Raw genomic sequence first — 24,079 nt, 5'->3', positions numbered from 1 at the left:
TCTCATCTCCTGCTTGTGCCTCCCGATGGCTGAACACAGCAGAAAGCCAGAGGGGAGAGGAGCCCAGGCAGAGCCCTCTGGACAAAGGGCAGGGTGGAGAAGGCTGGAGGCATGAAAGGAAAAGATCTAGCACACATTTTGGAGACCTTGAAATGTCCCAGGCATTGTCATACGTGCTTTACACATACTCACTCATTTAATCCCCGCAACAGCCCAAAGAGACTTCATCAAGCAGAACAACATGCATTATTTAATTTGTTCTGGCTCTCTTTCTCCCTGTTTGGCTGGGTGCACACCTAAAGTTGAATCTTCCTGAGTTGACTGTCCCATGGTTCCCCTGTGTAGCTATCCTGAAGGGCCAGTCCATATGGGGGAATACAGAGGGATGAGACTGGAGGGTACCACATGGCCAAACCCAGCTTTTGCCTCCAATACCCTAGACAAGGGGCCTGAAGATTGTGAGGGTGGAGATGCTCCCTGTCCCCTCCTCCCTCCCACACAGACCAATAGCACAGTGCCAGAGAAACATCAGTCAGCAAATGCTAATCTAGGCAGGGCTGGCAGCAGGGGCAGGGGGTAGCAGGGATGATAATAGAGATCCCCAACAGCTATTTGTAGATGGTGGGCTCCTTTAGGGCTTCTGTGCTTAATATCAAGAGGGATCCAAGAAAAGGAAAGGCTTTCTAAATCTAGTCGGAGAAAGAAGACTGGTGTCTTTCCCACAGTAGGTGTTCAATAGATGTGTAATGGACAAGTGGACAACAAAGGAGTTATATTTCATAAGTGGATACCATGTGGTAGATTGAAAAAAAGCAGAGGTTTTGGAGCCAGTAGGCATAGGTTGGGGTCTCAATTCTGTCACTTCTCTGAGCCTCTGTTTCCTCATCTGTAAAGTGGGGATGATAACGTTCACCTCAGAGGGTTGTTAGGATATTAAAGATAATACACGTAAAGTTCCTCAGGCAGTGGACAGTCAGTAGGGAGAGGCTGGCTGGGATAAGTGAGCCAGACAGAAAGAGACTCAGGCTGGGAGGCAGGTGAGGAGGCTCCAGACTCTAGAAGAGGGGACTTGGGCCTCATCTGAAATGAAGGCAGGATTCAGATGAGAGGAGGAAAGCTGTCCATTGTGGATAGATGGAGTCGCTGGGACCTACTTTTTTGTGATGAATTGGAAGTGAACTAAGGGGAGGCAGACCCAGAATATATGTGCTGAGGACCAGTGGAAAGGTGGTGACCCAGGCCTGGGCCAACAGGTCAGAAAGAAGGCTCTAGACTAGAGCAAATAGAGTTCACGTTTCATCAACGGACGCCACTGGGCACCGTGCGCTTGTGTGCATGACATGGTTCTGGGTTCCACAGGGAAATGAAGAACATGTTTGGAAGGAAGGGAAGAAAGGAGTGTGGGAGATTTACTGCGTGCCTAGTGCTTCGTATGTACCTGAGTACAGGGTACTGGGACAATGGTACAAAGCACCCTAGAGCAGGGGCTCCCCAAAACTGATCCTCGGGCTAGTGCTAGGCAGAATTCCAGAAGAGAGGAAACTATATAATTTTTTAATATTGGAAAAGTAATTTGATTTGGACCACAGGGAAGACTACAAAGAAAAAGTAATTTAAGTGATGGTGGTATTGTTACTGCACGTTCAGGCTTTAGAGAAACTTCCATCTTTCTCAGCTTTCTTTCCTGGTGCCTTTTAATGCCTGAAGAGTGAGGTGTGAGTGTGTGTTTTCACTCAGGTGTGGTCAGAGAACAAAGCAGTGCTGTTCTTTCTGAGTCTTTCTGAGATATTTCTGGGTGAGAATGATCCCTCCCTTTGCAGGATCTCCTGTGTAACCAGTTTTCAAGTTTTTGATGATCTATCACTTAGATTCATATTTAAAGAGCATTCTACACAAACCAGATCTATTTTCCCTGTTAGCTGGTATGGTCTATAGAGAATTGTTTAAATAGACAAGTCAGACATGGCGGTAGATGGAATGTTCTGAGTGAGGACAAGGAGATTCCAGTGTGTCAGGGGAAGGATCTGTTCCACTGCAGCTGAGTCCCACTTGGGATGTGGTGAAGCGAGCAATGGCAGAACTGAGGACAGGGTTTGAGTGACCTAACCGGTGACAGTGGGTGGACATGAGGCCGAAGAGCTGAGCTCTGCAGCTGTCTCAGGAGACAGGTAGGATGAGACCTCTGGGAGCAGTGGTCAGTGCTGGAGGGCTGCTGACAAGGGCCAGGAGCCCGGGACCTTCAGGGACAGGCTCCTTTCCACCAAGACCATCTCCAAGTGATCTGTGCTTGGCCCAGGGAAGGGAGAAAAACAGAACCCTAGACCCTAACATTGCAAGTTACCTTACTCTTCTACCTCAGTTTTCCACCTAATGCACAATAAACATGGTCTAAGGAGGACAGTTCCTCACTACTGAAATCTAATGCTACAGCAAGATACATTTCTGCAAAGAGGGATAAGAGGGAACTTCAGTCCTAAGGCCTCAGTCAATAAGAGATTCTCTGTCCCATCTTCTTTCTTGTGTCACCACCCAGGGTTATAACTAGGCTAGAAGTCTTTAGTCAGGGTGTCCTCTCTTCAGCCAAAGCAGACGTGATTTTTATGCTCCCCTTAGAAAGTACAACACTTGGGTTCAAAGAGTCATTCAAAAGATGTCCCATTTTCTCACTCATTATAGACCAAGCCAAAAGTGTTTTCTTAACAGTGCAGAGGAGAGAGATGGGGCTTAGAGATAAGAAAGGAGTTCTTGAAAGCAAAGGGTTGGAAATTTTGGCCTAAAGGGACATTGGGAGTTATTTTCCCCTGCCAGGCCTGAGTCACAATCAATGGTCATCGTGGCGTAGCAGAAAGAACATGGGCTTTGGAGTCAGACTTAGGTTCATATCCTAGCTCTGCTTATTAGCTGTGGGACACTGGGTGAGTTGACTTAACCTCTCTGATCCTCAGTTTCCTCAGCTGCAGCATTATGTGAGAATATTGCCCCAATGTGATAAACAAATGGAATAAAGCCCATGAAAAGCTCCTGGTGCCACCGCATGGGGCATTATGGGGACAACATCATTTCCCTTCCCCTTCTGTTCCCATGGTTACCTCCCTCCCACCTGAACCATGTGGGCATACCAGGAGGCAGGCAGATAAATTCATTCAATACTTCTTTATTGAGAGCTTATTATGTGTTGGGCACGAGAAATTTAGAACAAAATAGATCTCATCTTTCCCCTCATGGGATTTTTCTGTCCAGCGAAGGTGACAGAGAAAACAATTCACAGAGAAAACAAACCTTAAATTACAAATTGTAGTCGATCTGTGAAGGAATTGAAACATCTCCGGGGTGCAGGAGTCGGTTCTGTCTGGGTAGGTGAGCAGGGAAGACCTCTCTGGAAAGGAGGTGGCCAGGCAGGGAAGTGGGGGAAGCAGTCCAAGCAGAGGGAACAAGCATACGCCAAGGCCCTGAGGCTGGAGAGCGTTCGGCCTGTGGGAAGAACTGAAAGGAGGACTTTGTAGCCAGGAAGACTGGTAGGAGAGGAGATTGGGCTTTGATAAGTCAAAGTAAGGAGTTTGGATTTAGGTTTGGTTTGGGGTACAAGAAACTACTGAGCAAGCAAGCAACATATCTAATTTATAAAGATATTTCTCGCCCCTGCTGCTAGGAGAGTTCATACTCCTCCATCACAGCCCAGTGTGGGCAGCCCAGGCCTGTCTCAGGGAGGCACCCCTGCCCCACAGGCCTGAGCAGAGGGGGTGAGAGAATCCAGGCTATGTGGAGAGATGAGCTTTCAGAGGTGGTGGGTGCGAAAGGCCAGCCTCCCACCCTAAGATTTAGTACCACCCACTCAAGCAGATGCTTCCATCTCCTGTCATCTGGGAGCTCCTTTTTTTTTTTTTTTTTTTGAGATGGAGTCTCGCTCTGTCACCCAGCCTGGAGTGCAGTGGTGCAATCTTGGCTCACTGCAACCTCCGCCTCCCGAGTTCAAGTGATTCTCCTGCCTCAGCCTCCTAAGTAGCTGGGATTACAGGGGCATACCACTACGCCCAGCTAATTTTTGTATTTTAATAGAGACAGGGTTTTGCCATGTTAGCGAGGCTGGTCTCAAACTCCTGATCTCAGGTGATCTGCCCACCTCGGCCTCCCAAAGTGCTGGGATTATAGGCGTGAGCCACCGCACCCAGCCCTAGCTGGGAACTCCTTGCACTGAGGTAGGGAGAAAGCAAGGGTGCCCTTTTGGAGCAGGTGGGCTGAACTTCTGTAGCAACTAAAGCCCAAGCTGTGAGTCAAGCCTCCCAAGTTATTCTCACCTTTAATGAAATGCTCAGTCTGATTTTATAGGGAAGGAGGTACTGTCAGATCTAGGCCAGAAATCTGCATTCTGTACCCCCTGCTCAGGCCAGAAATCCCAAGGGCTGGGCCCAGCATGTCCCCTCTGTGGTGGGACGGACAGACTGCCCCGGTCTTCCAGAACCCTTGGGATACCCACAGAAAGAGGTAACGCTGCTCTGGCCCTCTTCTGAGGACGAGTCAGTGGAGAGCATGCAGCTTCCAGCTGCAGCCTCTCTATGAAGGGCTGAGGCCCTGGGCCGGGAGGCTGGAGGAGAGAGGGACCCAGTGACCCCCCAAGCTTCCACCTTGCTCTGTTACCCGTTCTTGGGCTGAAGAGAGACCCAAAAATACAGTGTAGAGATTCACACTGAGGTAACTCAGGGAGTGGAATTCAGGGCCTCCCGCTGGGATTGAGGTGCTAATGACACAACTCCTGAACCTGACCTTAGAGTGCCAGCCATTGACGTCAACAAAGTTGAAATGATGTAACCTGACGCTCCCCCTGCGGGGCTTGTGCAGGGGCCTGGGGAGGGGGAAGGAGTGGCCATGAAACTGACTAGTGGACAGAACCCAGCTAAGGTCAGGACAAGACAGAGTGAAGGTCCCCTGGCACTGATGTTACAGAAGAATTCGGTGGTAAGGGGCTTCTGGAGAGTGGCATGTGCTATCTAAGCGAGTGGCCCAAATCCTTCCTGAAAGCATTTATCCGGCACTACAGCCACCATCAGGTAAGACAGTGGGCTTCTTCTGGCCATGGATGACACAGCCATGGGGGTGAGCAGCAGCACTGCCATGGCAGCGTGTCACTGTCACATGGGGATTCACATATGTACCTATGTGTGTTCATCCCCGTGTGTGCACATATTGCCCCACCTGGGGACAAAGGGTGCCTGGCCACATCTGGAGGGGCAGCGGTACTCCTGTGGCCACGTTGGGGTGGTCTGCATAGGTCTGATGCATTGGGGTCAGAGGGGCAGCCTGGCCTGTGGCTCCTCTTCTCTCCTCACAACTCCAGCCCTGAAAAGCTGCTGGGGAGGCCCTTGGGGATGACCTCTCCTCCCTGAGGTCTGCTATGGGGGCGGGTGCTGAGCCTGGAGCTGTGATTCTGCTATTGGATTTTCCAGGTGGATTTTCTGATTGAAAATGATGCAGAGAAGGACTATCTCTATGATGTGCTGCGAATGTACCACCAGTAAGTGTGCTGGGTCCAGCTCTTGTGGGCCACTTGGGTTCCTTTGTCTTCAGGGAGCCCTGGGATGGGTTGTTCTGAGACAGAGGAGCTCAGAGGGTGGATGCTCACGGCTCCTGGAAATCAAATGGACATACCATTCACTCATTTCAGCAACTATTTACACAAGTACTTTGTACTTGGCTTTGTACTAGGGGCTGGGTATAGTTGTGAGCCAGACAGATTGGTCTCTGTTTTCAGGTTGCTCACAGTCTGATGGAGGAGGCTGTCTAGTAGCCAGATAGATTCTATAGAGCATGATTGTTGGGACAGAACAAGAAATGCCAGCTGGCCACAGCCCTTGCATCAGATGTCTCCGATCACCCACTTGCTTTTTGATTCATTTTTTCTACTTTATAAGCTCCTGCCACTGCTGGGCACTGTGCAGAATCTGGAAATGAATTAGATCCAATTTCTTTCCTTGAGTAACTTGTGGTCTGGTGAGGGGAGATGAACATACACTGCAAACACAAAGAACTCTAATATAAGTTACATCAAATAACTGCTAAGTAGAGGTAAAAGCAGAAATGTGAAGAAAGGAGTTTTCCTTTCCAACTGCGAGGGAAGAGGAAGGACCAGGAAGGCTTGAGCAAGGCTTTGAAGGATAAGAAAGATTTGGGGCCAGGCAAGGTGGCTCATGCCTGTAATCCCAGAACTTTGAGAAGCTGAGGCAGGAGGATTGCTTGAGCCTAAGAGTTAGAGACCAGCCTGGGCAACATGGTGAAATCCCATCTCTACAAAAAAATACAAAAAATTAGCCGGGTATGGTGGCGCGTGCCTGTAGTCCCAGCTACTTAGGAGACTGAGGTGGGAATATCACCTGAACCCAGGAGGTCAAGGCTGCAGTGAGCCATGATTGCATCAATGCACTCCAGCCTGGGCAAGACAGCAAGACCCTGTCTCAAAAAAATAATAATAAAAGAAAAAGATTTTGGTAGGTGGAATATCTGGGAAGGGCATTCCAGAATGAGGGATCAGCATCAGCCAAAGTGTGGAGGCATGAAAGCAAGGGTGTGAATGGAGATAAGTAATCTGGGGGAGTAGGACTTGGGAGGGCACGGAGATCATAAATAGCCACAAGGCTGGAGAAGCTCCATGGGGACAGGTCATGGAGGGCCTTGAGCCTGCTGAGAAGAGTGGACTTTGTCCTCTGGGCAGTAAGGGGCCATCAAAGGGTTTTAAGCCAGGGAGTGCCTTACACTGAGAAAAGATGACGTGACAGTGAGTACATGGGCAGGCAGCTGCAGTCGAAGGTCTGAACAGCATGAGGGAGGAGGCATGTGAACTGTGGTGAGGTGAAATTGACAGAGCTTAGCAGCAGATACGAGTGGAGATGATGAGTGTGTGAGGAATTGTCAGCATCTCACACAGAGCTTTCCCCTCTGGAAAGATCCCAACAGCCGAGATAGGCAGCGCTGAGTTTGAAATCCTGGCTTCATCTCATCTGCAAAATGAGTCAACAATCCCTAGTAGACTGGTTTCCTGGGGATATTTATATAAGAGAACAAAGTCTTCTCAGGCACTGGCCCGGTGTGAAGAGCTCTGGGCTTTTCAGGAGTGGTCTACTCCATTCCTAAGCCTGGGCCCAGTGGCTGAAATGGCTTCCTCTTGGAATCCCTGGGTGCCTGAGGTCATGGCCAGGGGTGAGGCTCCAGGCATTCCCGGCATCTCCACAGGACCATGGACGTGGCCGTGCTCGTGGGAGACCTGAAGCTGGTCATCAATGAACCCAGCCGTCTGCCTCTGTTTGATGCCATTCGGCCGCTGATCCCACTGAAGCACCAGGTGGAATATGATCAGCTGACCCCCCGGCGCTCCAGGTGCAGAGGAAGCCACCAGGCTGGAGGCAGGGGGTGGAGAGATCACCCTGGGCGGGGCAGTGCTGGCAGCCAAGCTGCACCATCACCGACCTCTCCTGTGTGGCAGGAAGCTGAAGGAGGTGCGTCTGGACCGTCTGCACCCCGAAGGCCTCGGCCTGAGTGTGCGTGGTGGCCTGGAGTTTGGCTGTGGGCTCTTCATCTCCCACCTCATCAAAGGCGGTCAGGCAGACAGCGTCGGGCTCCAGGTGAGCAAACAGAGTCCGGGGGAGGGGGAGCGAGGGCCTCGGACCTCCTGCCTCCCCCTCATTCATCCACTAGGCTGTGTGGCACAACATGGTCACCCACTTTTCTGAGCCTTCGGGTGAAGAAGAGGCTGGCGCATCCTGATGGGTGTTCTTAGGCTCATAGAAATCAGGCCGCAGGCAATTGCCTGTTTTCTTGAGTGAAGCTGGTAACCTGGCTGCTGCCTGCTTCCAACTGCTGCCTCCTTCCAGCTGCTGCCGCTGCACTTCCCCCCACCTCCCCTACTCCCCAAGAGAGGAAGACAGTGATGCTGGCATATGAAGTTTTGGACCTGTTGCCTTTTACCAGCAGGGGGAAAGAAAGCCTGGTGCAGTGTGATGCCGAAGAGCATAGACTCTGAAGCAGGGTTAGCCGGGTTCAATTCTGGCTTTGCTGTTCATTAGGCTGTGTGACTTGGTGGAATGACTTAACCCTGTGCTTCAATTTCCTCATCTATAAAATGAGTTGCCGATAGTACTGTCTACCTCGTCAGGTTTTGTTAGTAAATGAATTAATAGTAGAAAGTGCTTATAGCAGGGCCTGGCATACAAATGCTGTGAGCCTGGTAAGTGAACAGAGAGAGGGAGATTTAAGAAACGCCTGGAATGTGCCAGGTCACATGCTCACAAGCAGTCCTTGCTATATGCATTGAACGGATCGTGCCCATTTTACAGAATTAATAGAGGCTCAGAGGCCAGTAAGTGGCAGAGCCAGGATTAGAAACTAACTGGGTCTCCTGACTGCCAAGCCCAGAAATCTCTCTTCAGCAACGCAGGTGCCTCTCCTTTGGGGTCCCCACACCTCAGGGCCTGAGCAGAGATGGGCAGACCTCCAGGTCTCACTCCTACCTGAGCCCAGGGCTGTGTTTTTGTGTGTTGAGATAAAGGAGGCCCTCCCACCATCACCAAGAGCTTCCAGCGGGTTTGTTATCAACATCCCAATCCAGGCTGCCAAGCTTGGGGCTTTCAAGGGGCTCGAAGGCTAATGGTACAAGACACTGTGGCGTAAGGGGTGGAAACAGGGAGCTGACAGACACCGCTTTGTTCTAAATCCCTGTCTCACGGCTCCCTGGTGGTGTCTGAAATTTCAGCCCCTTCATTATTTCTTTCCTCTGCAGCACATTTTCCAGCTCAGAAATGCAGCCAGAGAAAACACATAATGAGCGCCTCTCTTGGCGTCAGCTGAGGCCGCCTTTTTTCCAGGGCGAGCTCTCTTAGGACAAGCAGTTCTCAATGCTGCCTCGATGACTGGGGGCGTTGGGGTATTTTAATGAGACCTACAGTTTTACCTTCCTGGCTGTTTCTCAGGCTTATGAATTATCGGCCCTTTCTCTAGCTGACGGGTTCATCTCTCCTTTGTGCCGCTGTCCCTCAGATCGTTATATCATCGTGGCCCTTGCACAAAGGGCCCTTTGCAGGGCTCCACACAGGGCGAGACGGGGAGGAAAGTTGATCCTGCAACCTGAGCCAGGGGCTGTGTGGGAATCATTCCGACTGGGGTTCTGGGCAAATTCCCTTTAGGAATAAGACAGGGAACTTTACTCAGAGGAGCTTCGGGAAAAATGGCTGCATCCATTGACCTGTCTGGGGTTCATGCTTCTGGGGAGATCTCATGCCTGAGGGCAACTGGAAGAAGATGCTGGAAGGCAGGGGATGAGCAGGTTCAGATACAGCCCGGCTGGGCTAAAGACCTGTGCTGATTTGACCTGTGAGGCTGGGTCCCCAGTGGTGGGCTTGGACCCTCCCACAGGACCTAGTCCTGGGGGTCCACCCCTCTGCCCTTGTCCCCTGCTGGAGATACTTGGTTTTTGTTTTTTTTTCCCCAAGAATATCCTAACTTAACCTACATCCTCTGCCTTGCACAGGGCAGCCTGTGACATACAACTTGCTGTATATTCCAGACCTAGAAAATTATTCTGTGTGCTTTGGTTTTCCCTGTCATAACATGGACAGCTGCCTTTGTGTGGGACTTGAGGGCTCTGACAGGTGGCAAGGATCCAGAGAGGGCAGGATGCAGGGAATTGCAGCTAGGCTTGGCCGGATGCCCTTCTTTTCTACTTCCAGACACCCAAGAGACACCACTTGTCGATCAGGGAGACCTGACTTCAAATCCCACGACACTGTTTACTATTGGGGTAACCTTGAGCAAGTCACTTTACCTCTCTGAGCCTCAGTTTTCTCATCCGATTAACAGAGATACAAATTCCTGCTCTGCAGGGTTGTTGTGAAAAATAGGTGGAAGGAGTTAGTCTGGCCGCTGTCCTTGAATTACATGTTCCCAGAAACCTAGAGAGTTCTTTAGTGGGCCCCCACCCCAGTGCCATTTTGAGCCCTTGGCCACTCCTGTCAGGTCCCTGAGAAGACTGGGGTCTGTGTCCCGGAGTGGGAGGGAAGCGTTCCTTGGAATAGTGAGAAGGTGACTCTGTGGGAATGCTGTAGAGGGCAGGAGTTGCCCTAGAGGACCCCTCGGAGGCTGCATGTCCACCCAGCCCCTACCTACCTAGACCCACAGGGAGTCCAGCTTGCATCCCTCACGTGTGCCAGCACGTCTCCAAAGGGTGAGCACGTGTGTTTCGAGTTAAGCCCCCAGCTGACCTGCACTGGCCTCAGACCGGAACCTCTCCAGGAGCCAGTCTCTGTTTTGCAGCTACTGGCTGTGTGACCTTGGACAAAACCTCACTTCCTTGGGCTTCAGCTTCAGCTGTTATCTGAGAGTTCCTCCTGCCCTGTGGTTATTAAATGAGGAGCTCCAGAATTGATCCCCAGGGCCGGGGTGCCTGGAGGAGCCGGCAGTATCCAGCAGGGGGCAATCTCACCACGGCTCTGTATCCAGGGCTGGCTGCCCAGGGCCCATCTCAACAATCCACTGTGGCCTAAGCCCTGAGAAGAGAGATCTGAGCTGAGTATTCAGGGATCAGGACTAACTCATGATAACAATAGCAATCATGTATTGAGTGCTTACTGTGTGGCAGGCACTAGCTGTCTTTACATGCACAAGTTCACTTAATTCTCACAGCAACCTTGGTATTCCCCATTTTACAGACGAGGAAAACAGGTTCAGACAGTTCAAGAGACTTGCTCAAGGTCATATAGCTAATAATAATAAAAGAAGGGATTTGAACCCAGCACATCTGATGCCAAAGCCCTGTGCTCGTTCACTGTTCTTTGCTTGCTCCCAAAATAGGAATTCAGAGGTCAGGGCCACAGCAGAGTTAAAATGTTCATCAAGTTTCCATATGATGGGAAAAAAAAATCATATGTGTGTGTGTGTTGGTGATGTGAGCTTGGGTCAGGAGTCACAGAAGGTCCCCACCCCGACTCAGTTACAGTGTTGTAGCAATTAACAGAGATAGGGAGCCAACTTCCTAGGGGTGGGTTGGGACAAAGTCCCGGTAAGAATAGCTTAAAGCTGAGTGAAATGTCACCCTTTGCATAGAATCCAGAATCTGATGGTGCCCCAGTGGAGTGAAAGGGGCACTAGAGTGAGGGTGCAGAGAGTTCTGAGATCTTCTCCCAGCTCTGCTGCACACCCGCTGTGCCCCTCACCCCTGTCTTGGTTTCTCCATCTGTAAAATGGGGCGACAAGACTGCTTGGACATGCCACCTGAACCTGGGATCCCCCGGGCTGATGGAGGGTGGGTTGGTTGAGATCAAGGCTTATTCCAGGGGGTGGCACAGCCACCCTTCCCTTTTCCGGAGAGCAGTCCGGGAGCATCTGGTGGTGAGTCTGCCCCACTGCCTGATGCTCCCTCCACCTGGTGCTCCCTGCCTCTCTCTGTGGTCAAGGTAGGGGACGAGATCGTCCGGATCAATGGATATTCCATCTCCTCCTGTACCCATGAGGAGGTCATCAACCTCATTCGAACCAAGAAAACTGTGTCCATCAAAGTGAGACGTGAGTGAGGCCAGAGCAGGGCAGTACTCCATGACGGTGGGAGGGAGGGAGGGCGGGGGAGCAGGGCAGTACTCCATGACGGTGGGAGGGAGGGAGGGCGGGGGAGCAGGTCAGTACTCCATGACGGTGGGAGGGAGGGAGGGCGGGGGAGCTGTCCTAACCCCTGTGCCTTTCTCCCGCAGACATCGGCCTGATCCCCGTGAAAAGGTGAGAGGCCCCTCCTCTGCAGGCCAACTCTTCCCTGTGGGCCCAGGATCCTGGTACAGCCCTGGGGTCCGGCTCCCACCATGCCAGCCCTGCTTCTGGGCCAGTGGAGGCTGGAGGCTCTAGACATGGTGGATCTGGATGTGGGGCCTGGTTCCTCAAACGTCTCTCGCTAACCACCCTCCCATCTATTTTCCCTTCCCATCAGCTCTCCTGATGAGCCCCTCACTTGGCAGTATGTGGATCAGTTTGTGTCGGAATCTGGGGTAAGGGCCAGACCTCCTGTGATGGGGTTTGGGTGGGGTCATCTTCAAGGAGGGGTGGCCGGTCCTGAAGGGAGGGCTTGCTCTAGAGATGCACCCTCAGGGGCTTCACACAGGCTCCCAGGGCAGCCAGCACACCGCTGTGGGGCAGCAGCCCTCGGCCAGGCCCAGCTGGTGCAGACACATCCCCAGGGACGGAATGATGATCTGGCTGGCGTGAGTTCAGCAGTGCTCGCCCTGCAGATCCCACAAGCTCAAGAGGCCGCTTGCACGCATGTGGACACTCCGTGATTCTGCTTCTATCTCTCTTTCAGGGCGTGCGAGGCAGCCTGGGCTCCCCTGGAAATCGGGAAAACAAGGAGAAGAAGGTCTTCATCAGCCTGGTAGGCTCCCGAGGCCTTGGCTGCAGGTGGGTGGCAGGCATGCCCTGGGGTCATTCGTGGCCAGTGCACCCCAGCAGGCCCCTATTGCCCTCCCCTTCCTCACTGCCACTTCCGAGGAAACCTTGCCCACCAGGGGTGTGACTGTCCATGGGTGATGATACTTTTTTTGTTAGATACAGGGTCTGACTCTGTTGCCCAGGCTGGAGTGCAGTGGCATGATCATAGCTCACTGTAGCCTCAACCTCCCCAGCTCAAGCAATCCTCCCACCTCAGCCTCCTGAGTAGCTGGATCTACAGGAACACACTGCCATACCCAGCTAACTTTTAATTTTTTTGTAGAGATGGAGTTTTGTTATGTTGCCCAGGCTGGTCTCAAACTCCTGGGCTCAAGTGATCCTCCCACCTCAGCCTCCCAAAGCCCTGGGATTAGAGGCATGAAGCACCGCACCCAGCCTTGGTGTTGACACTTCTTGGTGCCTGATTTCCCCTCTGAACTTCATGACAGGCCTTTAGGGCCAGAGGGTCATCTCTAACAGAGCCCAATTTACAGATGAGGAAATTGAGGCCCAGAGGCAGAACAGTGTTACCTTGTGGGCCCTTGAGTCACTGCAAAAGGAGCCTGTTTGGCTGGTCATCTCTGTCACAGCTCTCTTGTCACTTATTAACTTGTTGGCTTCCTTAAGAGGCAGACAGGGAATTCCGAACAGACACTGGGCCACACGGGGCTTAAGCATGCAGGTGCCACCGTTACTCAGATCCCAGTTCCAGCCCTGCTTTCCCACTTAAGAGCTCTGGAACCTTGGGCCAGTTACTTAACCACTTTGAGCCTCAGTTTCTCCCTCTATAAATGGGCGATAATAATTCCCACATCACAGGGTGGTTGTGGAGAAAGTAAAGTGCCAAACTTAGTACCTGCTAAATAGTAAGCAGTTGGTAAATATTAGCTATTATTATTTAAGTTATCCCTGTTCTTTCCTTTCATTCACATTTATTCAATGTTTTGTGCCAAGCACAAGTGATAAAAAGTCCCACCTTTCTGGGAGACAACAGCCTAATCTAGAAGCCAACCAAGTAAATAGTTATAATATAGGGTGATAGGGACTCGAACGGGACTACATTCTGCGTCCAGGATGGCAAATAGGTGCCATCTCTAGTCAATGAGTAGCAGCTCCCTGGAGTGCTGCTTTGAAAAGCATTCTAAAGCTGTATCCAGGATTGTGGGAAAGAGTGCTGTGATCAATGAGTGACTTCTGCCACCAATCTAGGAAGGAATACTAACAGTACATGTACCATCCTTGCCGTAAATGTCATAGGAGCACTGAGAACAGAGCGGCTAGTTTAGTCTTGGGATAGAATAAGGGATCTGAGCCAGGCATGGTGGTGCACACCTGTAGTCGCAGCTAGGCTGAGGTGGGAAGATTGCTTGATCCCAGGAGTTGGAGGTTGCAGAGAGCTATGATCACACCACTGCACTCCAACCTGGGTGACAGAGCAAGACCCTGTCTCTAAAAAATAAATTTAAAAAAATAAGAGGATCTGGTAAAAACCTTATAGAAGGGATAGCATTTGAGTCTTAATGGATGGACAGGAAAGTGCTAGAAAGAAAGAAGAAACAGCATATGAGGTATATTAGGTGAGAGGTTGGGTAGGAAGAATTACAAGGATTTTTCTGTGGCTGTTGCCCAGGGTAGCAGTAGAAATCAGGCTGGAGAGGGACACAGAGGCTGAAGAGGTAGGCAGTCAAGGGCCTTCAGTCCTCAGCTCATGAGTGACCTGTATCCTGAGCACTGGACATGGGTTACCTGAATCCCGAGCACACATTTCCCACCTCCCGCAGCATTTCCAGCGGCCCCATCCAGAAGCCTGGCATCTTTATCAGCCATGTGAAACCTGGCTCCCTGTCTGCTGAGGTGGGATTGGAGGTGAGTGACGCTGGGCCGGCCCCAGTGGGGGCCCACTGGAAATTGGGTCAGACTGTGATCCCGCGGTGACAGGGGCAGGTGCCTTTCCACATGGCCCTCTTTCAGTGGACACTGAGGGAGTAGGAGCCCTACCCACCCTGCAGAGAAGGCTTCACAGACTGGGGATGTTTGACCCTTCTGCAGCCTTCCCCAGCTCTGATAGTTGTTGGTCACGAGCTTGGGAATGTCGTAATGGTAATCAAAGAGCGGACCTTCAGTGTCCACTTGCATCAGACATTGTTCCATGCCCTTTACACTTCACAAGAATGCTGAGGGTTAAGTACCACCATTATCCCCACTTTACATATGAGGAAACTGAGACCCAGAGAAAGTATATGATTTTTCCAAAATCGTGTACCTCATATGGTAGGGCTGGGATTCAAACCTAGGTGGTCCAATCCCAAAGCAGGAACCCTTAACCTCTTCTTTGGACAAGTTACTTCATGTCTGTTTGCTTACCTGTAAGATGGGGATAATACAGGCTTTCTTCCAAGGTTGTTGTGTGGGTTAAAGTAATTAATATGTATACTAGAGCTGTGCCAAGCACATTGTAAGTGATCAGTGAATGTTAGCTATTCTGTTATGACGATTCAACACAGCCTGTGCTAAATGAGAAGCTCAAAGGTTCCCGCATCTGCAAACTGTGATTTTTAAAGCAAATGTCATCAAATTTAGCCAAAGAAATGAACATGTAATGGTATAATATTTGATAGTTGATAAGATAGTTATGAAGTAGGGGAGTGCCAGGGTCAGCTTTAAGCCCTCCCAGAGCTCCACCAGAGCTTTCCAACTGCTCCATTCATCAGGAGGAGCTGAGGTACTGCCACTTGAAGATCCAGCATCTGACCCAGAGCCCCTGGGGGAGCCTGTCCTGCAGATGAGCGAGTGTACAGATAGCGCAAACACACTAATCTTTCTCCATTTCCCCACCAGATAGGGGACCAGATTGTCGAAGTCAATGGCGTCGACTTCTCTAACCTGGATCACAAGGAGGTGAGATGTGGGGGTCTTCACCTGTTGGCCCTTGTCATCTCCACACCCCACTTCTCATCCCCACCACCCTGGAGCCTGGGGCCTTCTGTGCTCTCTGCCTGGACTGCTGTGGTCTGTCAGGCCTCGGCCCACTGTCCTTCTGTCCCCACAGGCTGTAAATGTGCTGAAGAGTAGCCGCAGCCTGACCATCTCCATTGTAGCTGCAGCTGTAAGTCCAGAATGAGCTGGTGGGAGCCCCTTGACCTTCATCCCCAGCCCCTCTGACCTTTGATCTCTGCCACACACTCCCAGGGTGGCTGGTCTCCTTCCCTGAAGCTCTGACAGAGCAGAGCGAGAGGACTTCTGCCCAGCAAGAAGTTTGGGTCAGGGATTGCGGGAGCCGCAGTGCCTGATGGTGCTGAGAAGACCACCTGCATCTCGGCCCCCAGGGGTGTGTCAGGGGATCCCCAGGTTCCCCGGGGGCTGAGCAAGGGGCCTCTTTTCTCCCATGAGGGCCGGGAGCTGTTCATGACAGACCGGGAGCGGCTGGCAGAGGCGCGGCAGCGTGAGCTGCAGCGGCAGGAGCTTCTCATGCAGAAGCGGCTGGCGATGGAGTCCAACAAGATCCTCCAGGAGCAGCAGGAGATGGAGCGGCAGTGAGTGCAGCCAGCCCTGGATGCCCTGTCCCGCCTCCCACCCCACCACACGACCCCACCTAGCTTGCTTCCTGCCCGCTGTGTCCCCAGCCAACTTCCTCCTCCTCCCTGGAGGCCAGTCCTCAGACCAGATGAGTTTGGTGGTAGGTCAGCGTATCCATCCTTGGCCTCAGACCACCTGGCTCCTTCCTCCTTGCTGAGCAGAGCCCCCTGTCTTCCAACATTCCAAGAATATGGAAAATAAGCATCCTACTAGCAGTAGGCTCTAGCTAGCTAGGATTAGCTACCAGCTAACATTTGTCAAGTACCTCCATAAGGCTGGTGTTGTATTAGGGCCTTGTTTATGTTTCTTAATTCCCACAATAGCCCTGGGAGGTAGAGAGTATTAACCCCATTTTAGAGGTGTGGAGACTGACACTCAGAGAGGTGAAGCCACTTGTGTCTAACGTCACACGTGGCCAAGCTGGGATCACCCCCAGGCAATCTGGCAAGTCCCCACAGGGCTGCCCTGCCTATAGTGATGAAGCTCACCCTTGTCCAGGAGGATTGAAATGATGGCCTAAGAGAATAAATGGGGTGAGCAATTCATAAATCAAAAACTACTGTCAAGATCCAAATCCAAATACCTTTTAGGCATTTAAAAGTATTTCATGGCTGGACGCAGTGACTCACGCCTGTTATCCCAGCACTTTGGAGGTCGAGGCCGGCAGATCATCTGAGGTCAGGAGTTCGAGACCAGCCTGGCCAGCATGGTGAAACTGTGTCTCTACTAAAAATACAAAAAAAAATTAGCTGGGCATAGTGGCATGCGACTGTAATCCCAGCTTCTCGGGAGGCTGAGACATGAGAATCACTTGAACCTGGGAGGCAGAGGTTGCAGTGAGCTGATATCGCACCACTGAACTCCTGGGTGCAAAGTGAGACTTTGTCTCAATCAATCAATCAATTAATGTATTTTGAAAAGGAAAGAGGAAAGGCTGTCCCCATCTCCCCCAACACAGAGTTAGCTGGGAGTATTCCACCTGGCTAGGAGCCCCTGCTTTGCTCCTGGGGTCAGTCCAGGCCCCGCCTGTCATCAGTCACCTTACCTAAGTGTTTGGAGGAGGGTGCATGGAGTGTGGCCTTCACATGGATCTGCTTCCCTCCTCCCACAGCCCAGCATCTCTGCTCAGCCATGCCAGACAAAACCACGCAAGAGCACAGCGTCCAGACTTTGTTAGATAACGTCCCCCAAAACCAAAGCTGGTCCAGGCCTCCTAGGAAGGGAGCCTGGAGAAAAATCCAACTTTTCTCCAAATCAAGAATTCACAGTAAGGAAGAGTTCATTTCTCTTGCATAGGGCCAAACATGCCAATCTGCATTTGTGTTTCAGAAGGAGAAAAGAAATTGCCCAGAAGGCAGCAGAGGAAAATGAGAGATACCGGAAGGAGATGGAACAGTGAGTACCTCGGCTCCACGCGTGTCTGTGCATGAACATCAGTGTGCTCAGGGGAGTGTGGCCAACCAGAGGCTGCCTCCAGAACCAGTTTACCTGGTTCTCTCATCCCCTGGTGGGTCCTCCTTTATTTGTAGTAAAGCCTGTCATATTATAGTAACTGAAACATAGTCTCGTATAATTGCCAAGGTGGGGTTCACACTCAATTTAGAATACAAGCTCGGGGACTTTGCTTGATTCATCATGACTAGAACCATGAGGCTTCTCCCCAGGCTGGCTGGGGCTCTCCGATATGCAGGAGATGGGCCTATGGGGGTTCTGACTCCAGTAACAGGCATGGGGGTCTCATTTTAGGATTGTAGAGGAGGAAGAGAAGTTTAAGAAGCAATGGGAAGAAGACTGGGGCTCAAAGGAACAGCTACTCTTGCCTAAAACCATCACTGCTGAGGTACACCCAGTACCCCTTCGCAAGCCAAAGTGTAAGTTTCATGAGCCGAGGGGAGAGGCTAAGGGAACTAGTCAGAAATGCTGGCCCTCCCTCCCCTCACCACCACCTCCTAGATGGATAGCCCTTGGTGCTCTGGGCTGTGGTTCCTTCATGGAGGGGCAGCTGTGGGTCAGAGACCATCTGCCCCAGCATCGAGGTAGGAGGGATCTGTCTGCTCCCCTTGTTCACGGGCCAGCTCCACATACCCAGCTCCCAGGTCCCCCACAACACTGACATGGGCAGGCTGTCAGGCTGCTGAAGAGGGAATAAGGGCCATAGTGAAAGTGGATTAGCTCATGGGATTACCGTCCTAATGTTTTGGGTACCATGTCCTCCTCCTACTTGGTTCTGAACAGGGGCTGGGGTGAAGCCAGCAGCAGAAAAGAGGGGAAGGACCTCACATCAGAGAAGGGCTCTGGTGGTCCAAGGTTGATTCATAACTGTGGGAGGAGCTTACTAAGTGTCTCCAGCCCCTATATCCCTGTATGTGGACCAAGGATGGAGGCAGGAACAGGACAAGGAGGCCTCTCCCAGACACCCAGCTATGGGCTGTGGCTGTGCTGTCCTGGGGCCTCAGCTCATACTCTCCTTACCATCTCCTCTCTTCATCCGTCCCACATCCTCACCTCCATTTTCAGTCTAAGCCTCTACCACCTGCTCCCTGACCACCTTCTCAACCCCAGCTTCCATATGCCTCTTTAAGAGGCAGCCCACACTGCCAGAGGAAAACGGGGACCATGACAACCACAAGTCCAGGATTGCTGGTTGGGTCCTTACTCCTGCCTTCCAGCTGTTTTGACTTATAGTTGACACAGGACAGGTCCTACTCCAGCTGATTGTGCTCAGCTGACCTGGGAACCTCCAGCAAGGGGCTATTCTGGACTCAAGAGCCCAGGTTCCCCATCTCTGCTGTGGGGCAGTCATTTGGCATGTTGTGATGGGGTCTGGACAGCTCTGTCCCCAACTTTGGGTCACATATGAGACCTATGGGAATGTCAACCTGCCAACATAGGCCACTTGCACCAAGGAAGAGGTGCAGGGCATCTGGATGGTTCCATTTCACCCCTCCCTGGTGCAGTCAAACAGCTCCCAACACATTTCTTCCTGGCAGCAGGGCAGTGTCATCTCCTGGTCCTCTCAGAAGGACAAAGCACACTCTCATCAGCCTCCCCCGTGACATTCAGTATCAGTTGAGGATATGGCCAGAGCTAAGATCCCAATGAATGATCGCTGTTTTAGACAGACAGCTAATTTGCTCTTACGAGTGAAATAGGAGCTTCAGGAGAGAAATCGATTTTAATTGCTTCTCATGGAAGTAATCCTAGTCAATTTGGTACCTTCCAAGAAATTGGGCCTCAGCTTCACAGCAAACACACCCTCTCAGGAGCAATAGAAAATAAAAACCCTTTCACTAGCTGGTTATTTATTTAGTGCCTTTTAAACAAATCAAGCTCTTTGAATAAAAAGACCAAGAATTTTGCATTTGCTCAAGGTAAATGTGATCTTAGGCAGCTCCACAAAGCACAGGATGGATGACCCCCGCCTGCCCGCTGAGCTGGGACAGCTGCTGCCTCTATCTGTCTCTGTATGCACCAGCAATTTAATTCTCATTTGGACCTAAGGCAGGAAATGCAGTGAGGTCCCTGAGCCAGCTCACCTCCTGCCTCACTCCCTGTTCCCCGGGGTCTAGCATGGTCAGGGCTGAGTTGGTCCAGCAGGCCTGGGCCCCAGCCAGCTCCTATCCAACCACCCTTCAACTCAGCACCCAGTTTGCAATAGGTTATACCTGACTCAGGCTTCTATGCCTGCAAGGGGTGGGCCCTGCTTTTTTTTTTTTCTTGAGACAGAGTTTTGCTCTTGTTGCCCAGGCTGGAGTGCCATGGCGTGATCTCAGCTCCCCGCAGCCTCCGCCTCCTGGGTTCAAGCAATTCTCCTGCCTCAAAGCCTCCCGAGTAGCTGGGACTACAGGCATGCGCCACCAAGCCCAGCTAATTTTGTATTTTTGGTAGAGACAGGGTTTCACTATGTTGGTCAGGCAGGTCTTGAACTCCCAGCCTCAGGTGATCTGCCCGTCTCCACCTCCCAAAGTGCTGGGATTACAGGCATGAGCCACTGTGCCTGGCCCCGGGCCCTGCATTTTTTAAAATAAAAGAGCATGGGGCATCTCTTACCTAGAAAATGAAGTCACTCATCCTAATTATGTGCCTGGGACTGACTGCCCCCCAACCTGCCCCAGGGGGCCCTTAAAATTGCTCCTGCCCACCTACCCGTGGCTGATCCAGCAGACCCCCAACATTTTGCCAAGCCCTGAAGGCCAGGACACCACCACAGAGGCTCCTAACAGACCTTCCCTTAGCTTAGGCAGGAGTTATGTAGGTGGTTATGCAGGAGTTGCCAGGGGCAGCCTTGACTAAGGATCTGGTAGCTGAAGGATTCTTGAAAGATGGAGATGTTTAAATAGGACATCTCCAACCTTCTCTCCCTATCCAAGGCCCCATCAACTATCTCCCCCACCTCCACCACAAGAGACCCCACGATTTGGAAGTTGAGGTTATTTTCCTACCGAACTATTAAATAATCATTTGTGTTCCATTGTTTTATTAAGTAGTCCTTGTTAGTAAGGGAGCATCAGGGTTCCACTGTTGGGTAAATGTAATTTGAGCCAAGAGCCAAAGAACTTAACAGCCTTTGCATAGGCCAATGGGCAAGTTCTGTTAAGCTTTTAAAATATTAAAAAGCAGCTCACAAGCAAACGGGTATACTACCTTCCAGAGTCCTAGGGAGGCCGGAGGCCAGAGTCCAAGCTGGAAACTCTGGAATGGAGGGTTTGCTCTTCTCTCCACATTATGTCAAAATTCAGGTCTTCCTAACTGCATGTACCCCTTTTACCTTTTGGGATGTCCCCACCTCCTCAGGACCTTCAGCCTCCATCTGCTGCCCACACTGTTCAGACATCCCCTAGGGTCCCAGAGCTCCAAGGCAAGGGTGATAAGCACAAGGCTGGAGGGTCTGTTCTCCCATTGCAGCCCCTTGCCCTCAAACGTGTGCGATTCTCAGATATTCCCATCCTCCTCACTGCACTTCCCAGCCTTCAGCCCAATACCCTACAAAATGGTTCTCATGCTACCCTCAGATCTGAGTTTCCTGTTGTTAGCCCTTTGTACAGACAGAAAAACTAAAGCTGCCAAGGTTGAAAACACTGTATGCACCAGCTCAGAGCAAAAAACCTTTGCTCTGCTCTCCTGAACTCTGTCCCCTGCCCCTGACCTCACAGCTCCCATGGAGGAAGCTGATTACAGGTCCCCAAACTCCTGAGAAGGTTCTCCGGCCTCTTGGGCTCCCAAGTCCCTTTTGGTTCACCAGCTTCCTCCTCTTTTCCCTGGGTAGATGATCAGGGAGTGGAACCTGAGCTCGAGCCCGCAGATGACCTGGATGGAGGCACGGAGGAGCAGGGAGAGCAGGTTCGCGTCCCCGCTTTGCTCCCTGGCCTGGCTGCTCTGCTTTACCCTGCCCGCCTCCTCCTGACCGCAGTGCAGACACCCAGCTTCAGGGGCCCAGCATGTGTGGGGGCCAATAGAGTCTGTAAAGCTCCTCCAAGCCCCAGCTTGGCCCAAGCACTGTACACAAAGCCTAGACGACAGGACTCAATGCCCAGGCTGGTAGATCAGCTGTTGCACACTGGTACCACTGAACCGCTGGCTCGAATATTTAGATATTGCCAAATTCCCCCTCTGCTGCTCTGGCCCCTCCCCCAGGACCCCCTAGACCACTCTCAAATCCAGCAACTGAGGAGGTAGTGTCTGGTCCAGCAGGAGGCTTTCAGCATCCTGTTCCAGCACTCAGGCTGGTCCGGGGTGGGTAATTCAGCCATCGCTCTTGGCCCCAGGGAGCTTCAGATTGGGGGTATTACTCTGTGGAGCTGCGGCCTGGGGAAGGAAGGGGGCTGGTGCACTGGCTATCTGGCCTGGATGAGGATCTGTTTTCTGGGGGCACATCTCCTGCCCGCTCCTGCTGGAGCTGTCCTTCCAAGAGCTGTCCCAGCCACTGCCTTCTCTTTGAATGTTGAAAGCGGAGGACTTGACCTGCACTATGAGACAAGCCAGTTTTGTTCTGTCGAACAACAGTTCTAGGCAGACACCCAGGCTCCCTTTTGTCTCGAGCCATTTTTTGTATGGAGGGACCAGACATGGGTTAGAAAAGGCCTTGTTCTCTTTCAACAAGGCTTTGTATGTGAAGACTGTGATTTGGAAAAGCTCATCCTTCCACAAGGGGTTTTCTCTTTGATGTTCTGGCCCTGACTTCTGAAACCAGTGTTCTGGGGAGAGGCATTTGAGAGTGACCCAGGGCCTGGGAACCGGGGCTTTTCTCGGTGGTCTTAGGCCTGTTCTGCAACCAAGGCAAGGCCAGGTAAGCCGAGTTGGACAGAGGGTGCAGTTTTGCTGTCGGATCTGCCAATGCTGTTTATCTCACAAAGTCATGCATTCCTTGGGAACCCAGCTCCCATCTGCTGCCCATGGATGCTCTGGCTGAGCTGAACTGTGTCTCATCATTTTGTTATCTGTGTCTTATAGCTTTTGGATGGTTTTATCGTTACGATGGCAAATTCCCAACCATCCGGAAGGTAGGACAGGGTTGGGTGCTGTGCTGGTGTGCTGCTTAGTTTGCTGTGGGTTTTGGCTTTTCCCAAACATTCCTTGTCCTATCAACACTAAATGGTGTGACTTGGCCTGTTCACTTGGAAGGCTAACTCCATCTCCATCTTTGTGTCAGGCTGACATCAAATGGCAGGGTGCTGTTGCAAAGGCAACATTGGGAGAGGGATCCATGGTGTGAGACCTATCCAAGTACCATCTGGCAGTGTGTGCATCAGCACTGGCCCTGATGGGAACAGGAAAGGGGCAGGAAGCTTCTCCTGTGTTTCTCTGTCAAGTAGAACTAGAGACCAAGGCCAGAAGCTTGGGGTCAGACAGAGCAAATTATCGGAGTGGGTGTACCTAGTGCATGTTATGAGACCAGCTGTGCCAGACGCAGCCTGGCTGACGAGGTGGGGATTTGCTGCCTCAGGTTGGGACAGAGACCCACTCCAAGCACAGCCCTCTCCTAGGAATATCTCTGCATGTGCCCAGGATAATGCATTTTTCCAATTTCTAGGACCTTTAATTTTCTCTCTAAATCTTATTACAATATCTCCAGGCCTTGTAAAACTCTCTTGTCCTTATCTTTCTAAATCACATTGACATTTGATTGTGAAAACATTGCTGTTAATATCTATAATTGGACATTCGAGATGACTTGGTATTTGGAGGTCAGGCAGCAGCATAAATCTGGGTGAGCTAAATTGGATGTTATCACTTGACCAGCGCTTTCTGGCAAGATGTCAGTCCCCCAGAAACCAGAGCACTGGCAGCTGAGTGACCTTGATGATATATAATTCTCCCTGCCTGTAAAATGGGAATATTAACTGTGCCAGGAAAATCTACCCCCTTCCTCCAGCACATTGCTATTAAAATAACAAACAGTAATATTTTTCCTGACAGAGGTTAATGCCTTTATCTAGGAACATCTATCAGGATTTGTATAGCATTGAATAAACTTGGAACAGAGTTCCTCTGGGAATTCCTTCACACATTGTCCTGGTCTCAGAAAGGCCTTGGTCTCATAAGACTATCTGTTTCCCTTGACAGGCTGACTTTGGTGGCTTAGGATGCCTCATTGGGTTAGATTTCTAATTCTTCTCTATATTCTGCCTCTACTAGAACTCAGCTAGAGAGGACAAAACACACACACACACACACAAGCACACACACACATGCACACATAGGATTTTACTTGAAAAAAATAATAAAGGAGACAGATATGTCAAATCTTTTTCAGGCACTAATAACATGTAAATGTAAAAGAACTAGAATCTTCTCCACATACCACCTCCCATCAGAAATCATGTCCTTGAAAGTGCTGTTGATAAAGAAATAGGGTTGCCTTTCCCCTATTCCTTAATCTAATTATTCCAGAAACAGCTGTCATTTTGGTTTTCATTTTCACTTCAAAAAAAAAAAAAAAAAAAGAATTGCTTCTGGGTAGAATCAATAGCACAATCGCCCCATCTGCCTCACCTCTCAGTCTGGACCAAAAGGAATATTGTAACTGACAGGCCATGGATGTAACTGACAGCTGAAA

General features: G+C 51.1%; 1 protein-coding gene across 22 annotated transcripts in view, besides 1 other annotated feature; it reads left to right on the top strand.

Moving 5' to 3' along the window:
• The window catches only part of USH1C (USH1 protein network component harmonin), a 50,517-nt gene that overhangs the window by 5,653 nt on the left and 20,785 nt on the right, over positions 1 to 24,079 (top strand). For 7 of the 22 annotated variants that reach the window (NM_001440685.1, NM_005709.4, NM_001440682.1 and 4 more), the window contains exons 2-15: positions 5,442 to 5,509; positions 7,222 to 7,365; positions 7,472 to 7,610; positions 11,433 to 11,541; positions 11,724 to 11,748; positions 11,954 to 12,011; positions 12,323 to 12,417; positions 14,229 to 14,313; positions 15,286 to 15,345; positions 15,497 to 15,553; positions 15,838 to 15,980; positions 17,353 to 17,418; positions 17,770 to 17,894; positions 21,290 to 21,363. In NM_001440685.1, the coding sequence (NP_001427614.1) occupies positions 5,442 to 5,509; positions 7,222 to 7,365; positions 7,472 to 7,610; positions 11,433 to 11,541; positions 11,724 to 11,748; positions 11,954 to 12,011; positions 12,323 to 12,417; positions 14,229 to 14,313; positions 15,286 to 15,345; positions 15,497 to 15,553; positions 15,838 to 15,980; positions 17,353 to 17,418; positions 17,770 to 17,894; positions 21,290 to 21,363 (1,248 nt within the window). Of the gene's footprint in view, positions 1 to 4,878; positions 5,046 to 5,441; positions 5,510 to 7,221; positions 7,366 to 7,471; positions 7,611 to 11,432; positions 11,542 to 11,723; positions 11,749 to 11,953; positions 12,012 to 12,322; positions 12,418 to 14,228; positions 14,314 to 15,285; positions 15,346 to 15,496; positions 15,554 to 15,837; positions 15,981 to 17,352; positions 17,419 to 17,769; positions 17,895 to 21,289; positions 21,364 to 22,473; positions 22,524 to 24,079 lie in introns of those variants that run through there. The other 15 variants (XM_047426219.1, XM_047426222.1, XM_047426220.1 and 12 more) reach the window with 7 other exon arrangements.
• Positions 9,217 to 9,420: a silencer, noted in NCBI's record as "fragment chr11:17550891-17551094 (GRCh37/hg19 assembly coordinates)". NCBI's record gives its function as "represses an EF-1alpha promoter that drives an FKBP-Casp9 reporter gene in an ReSE screen in K562 erythroleukemia cells {active_cell/tissue: K562}" and the evidence as "EXISTENCE:reporter gene assay evidence [ECO:0000049][PMID:32094911]".

This window comes from Homo sapiens, chromosome 11, assembly GCF_000001405.40.
Source record: "Homo sapiens chromosome 11, GRCh38.p14 Primary Assembly".
Lineage (NCBI taxonomy): Eukaryota > Metazoa > Chordata > Mammalia > Primates > Hominidae > Homo > Homo sapiens.
The sequence above is the reverse complement of the archived record's forward strand: the minus strand, read 5'-3'. Positions and strand labels throughout refer to the sequence as shown.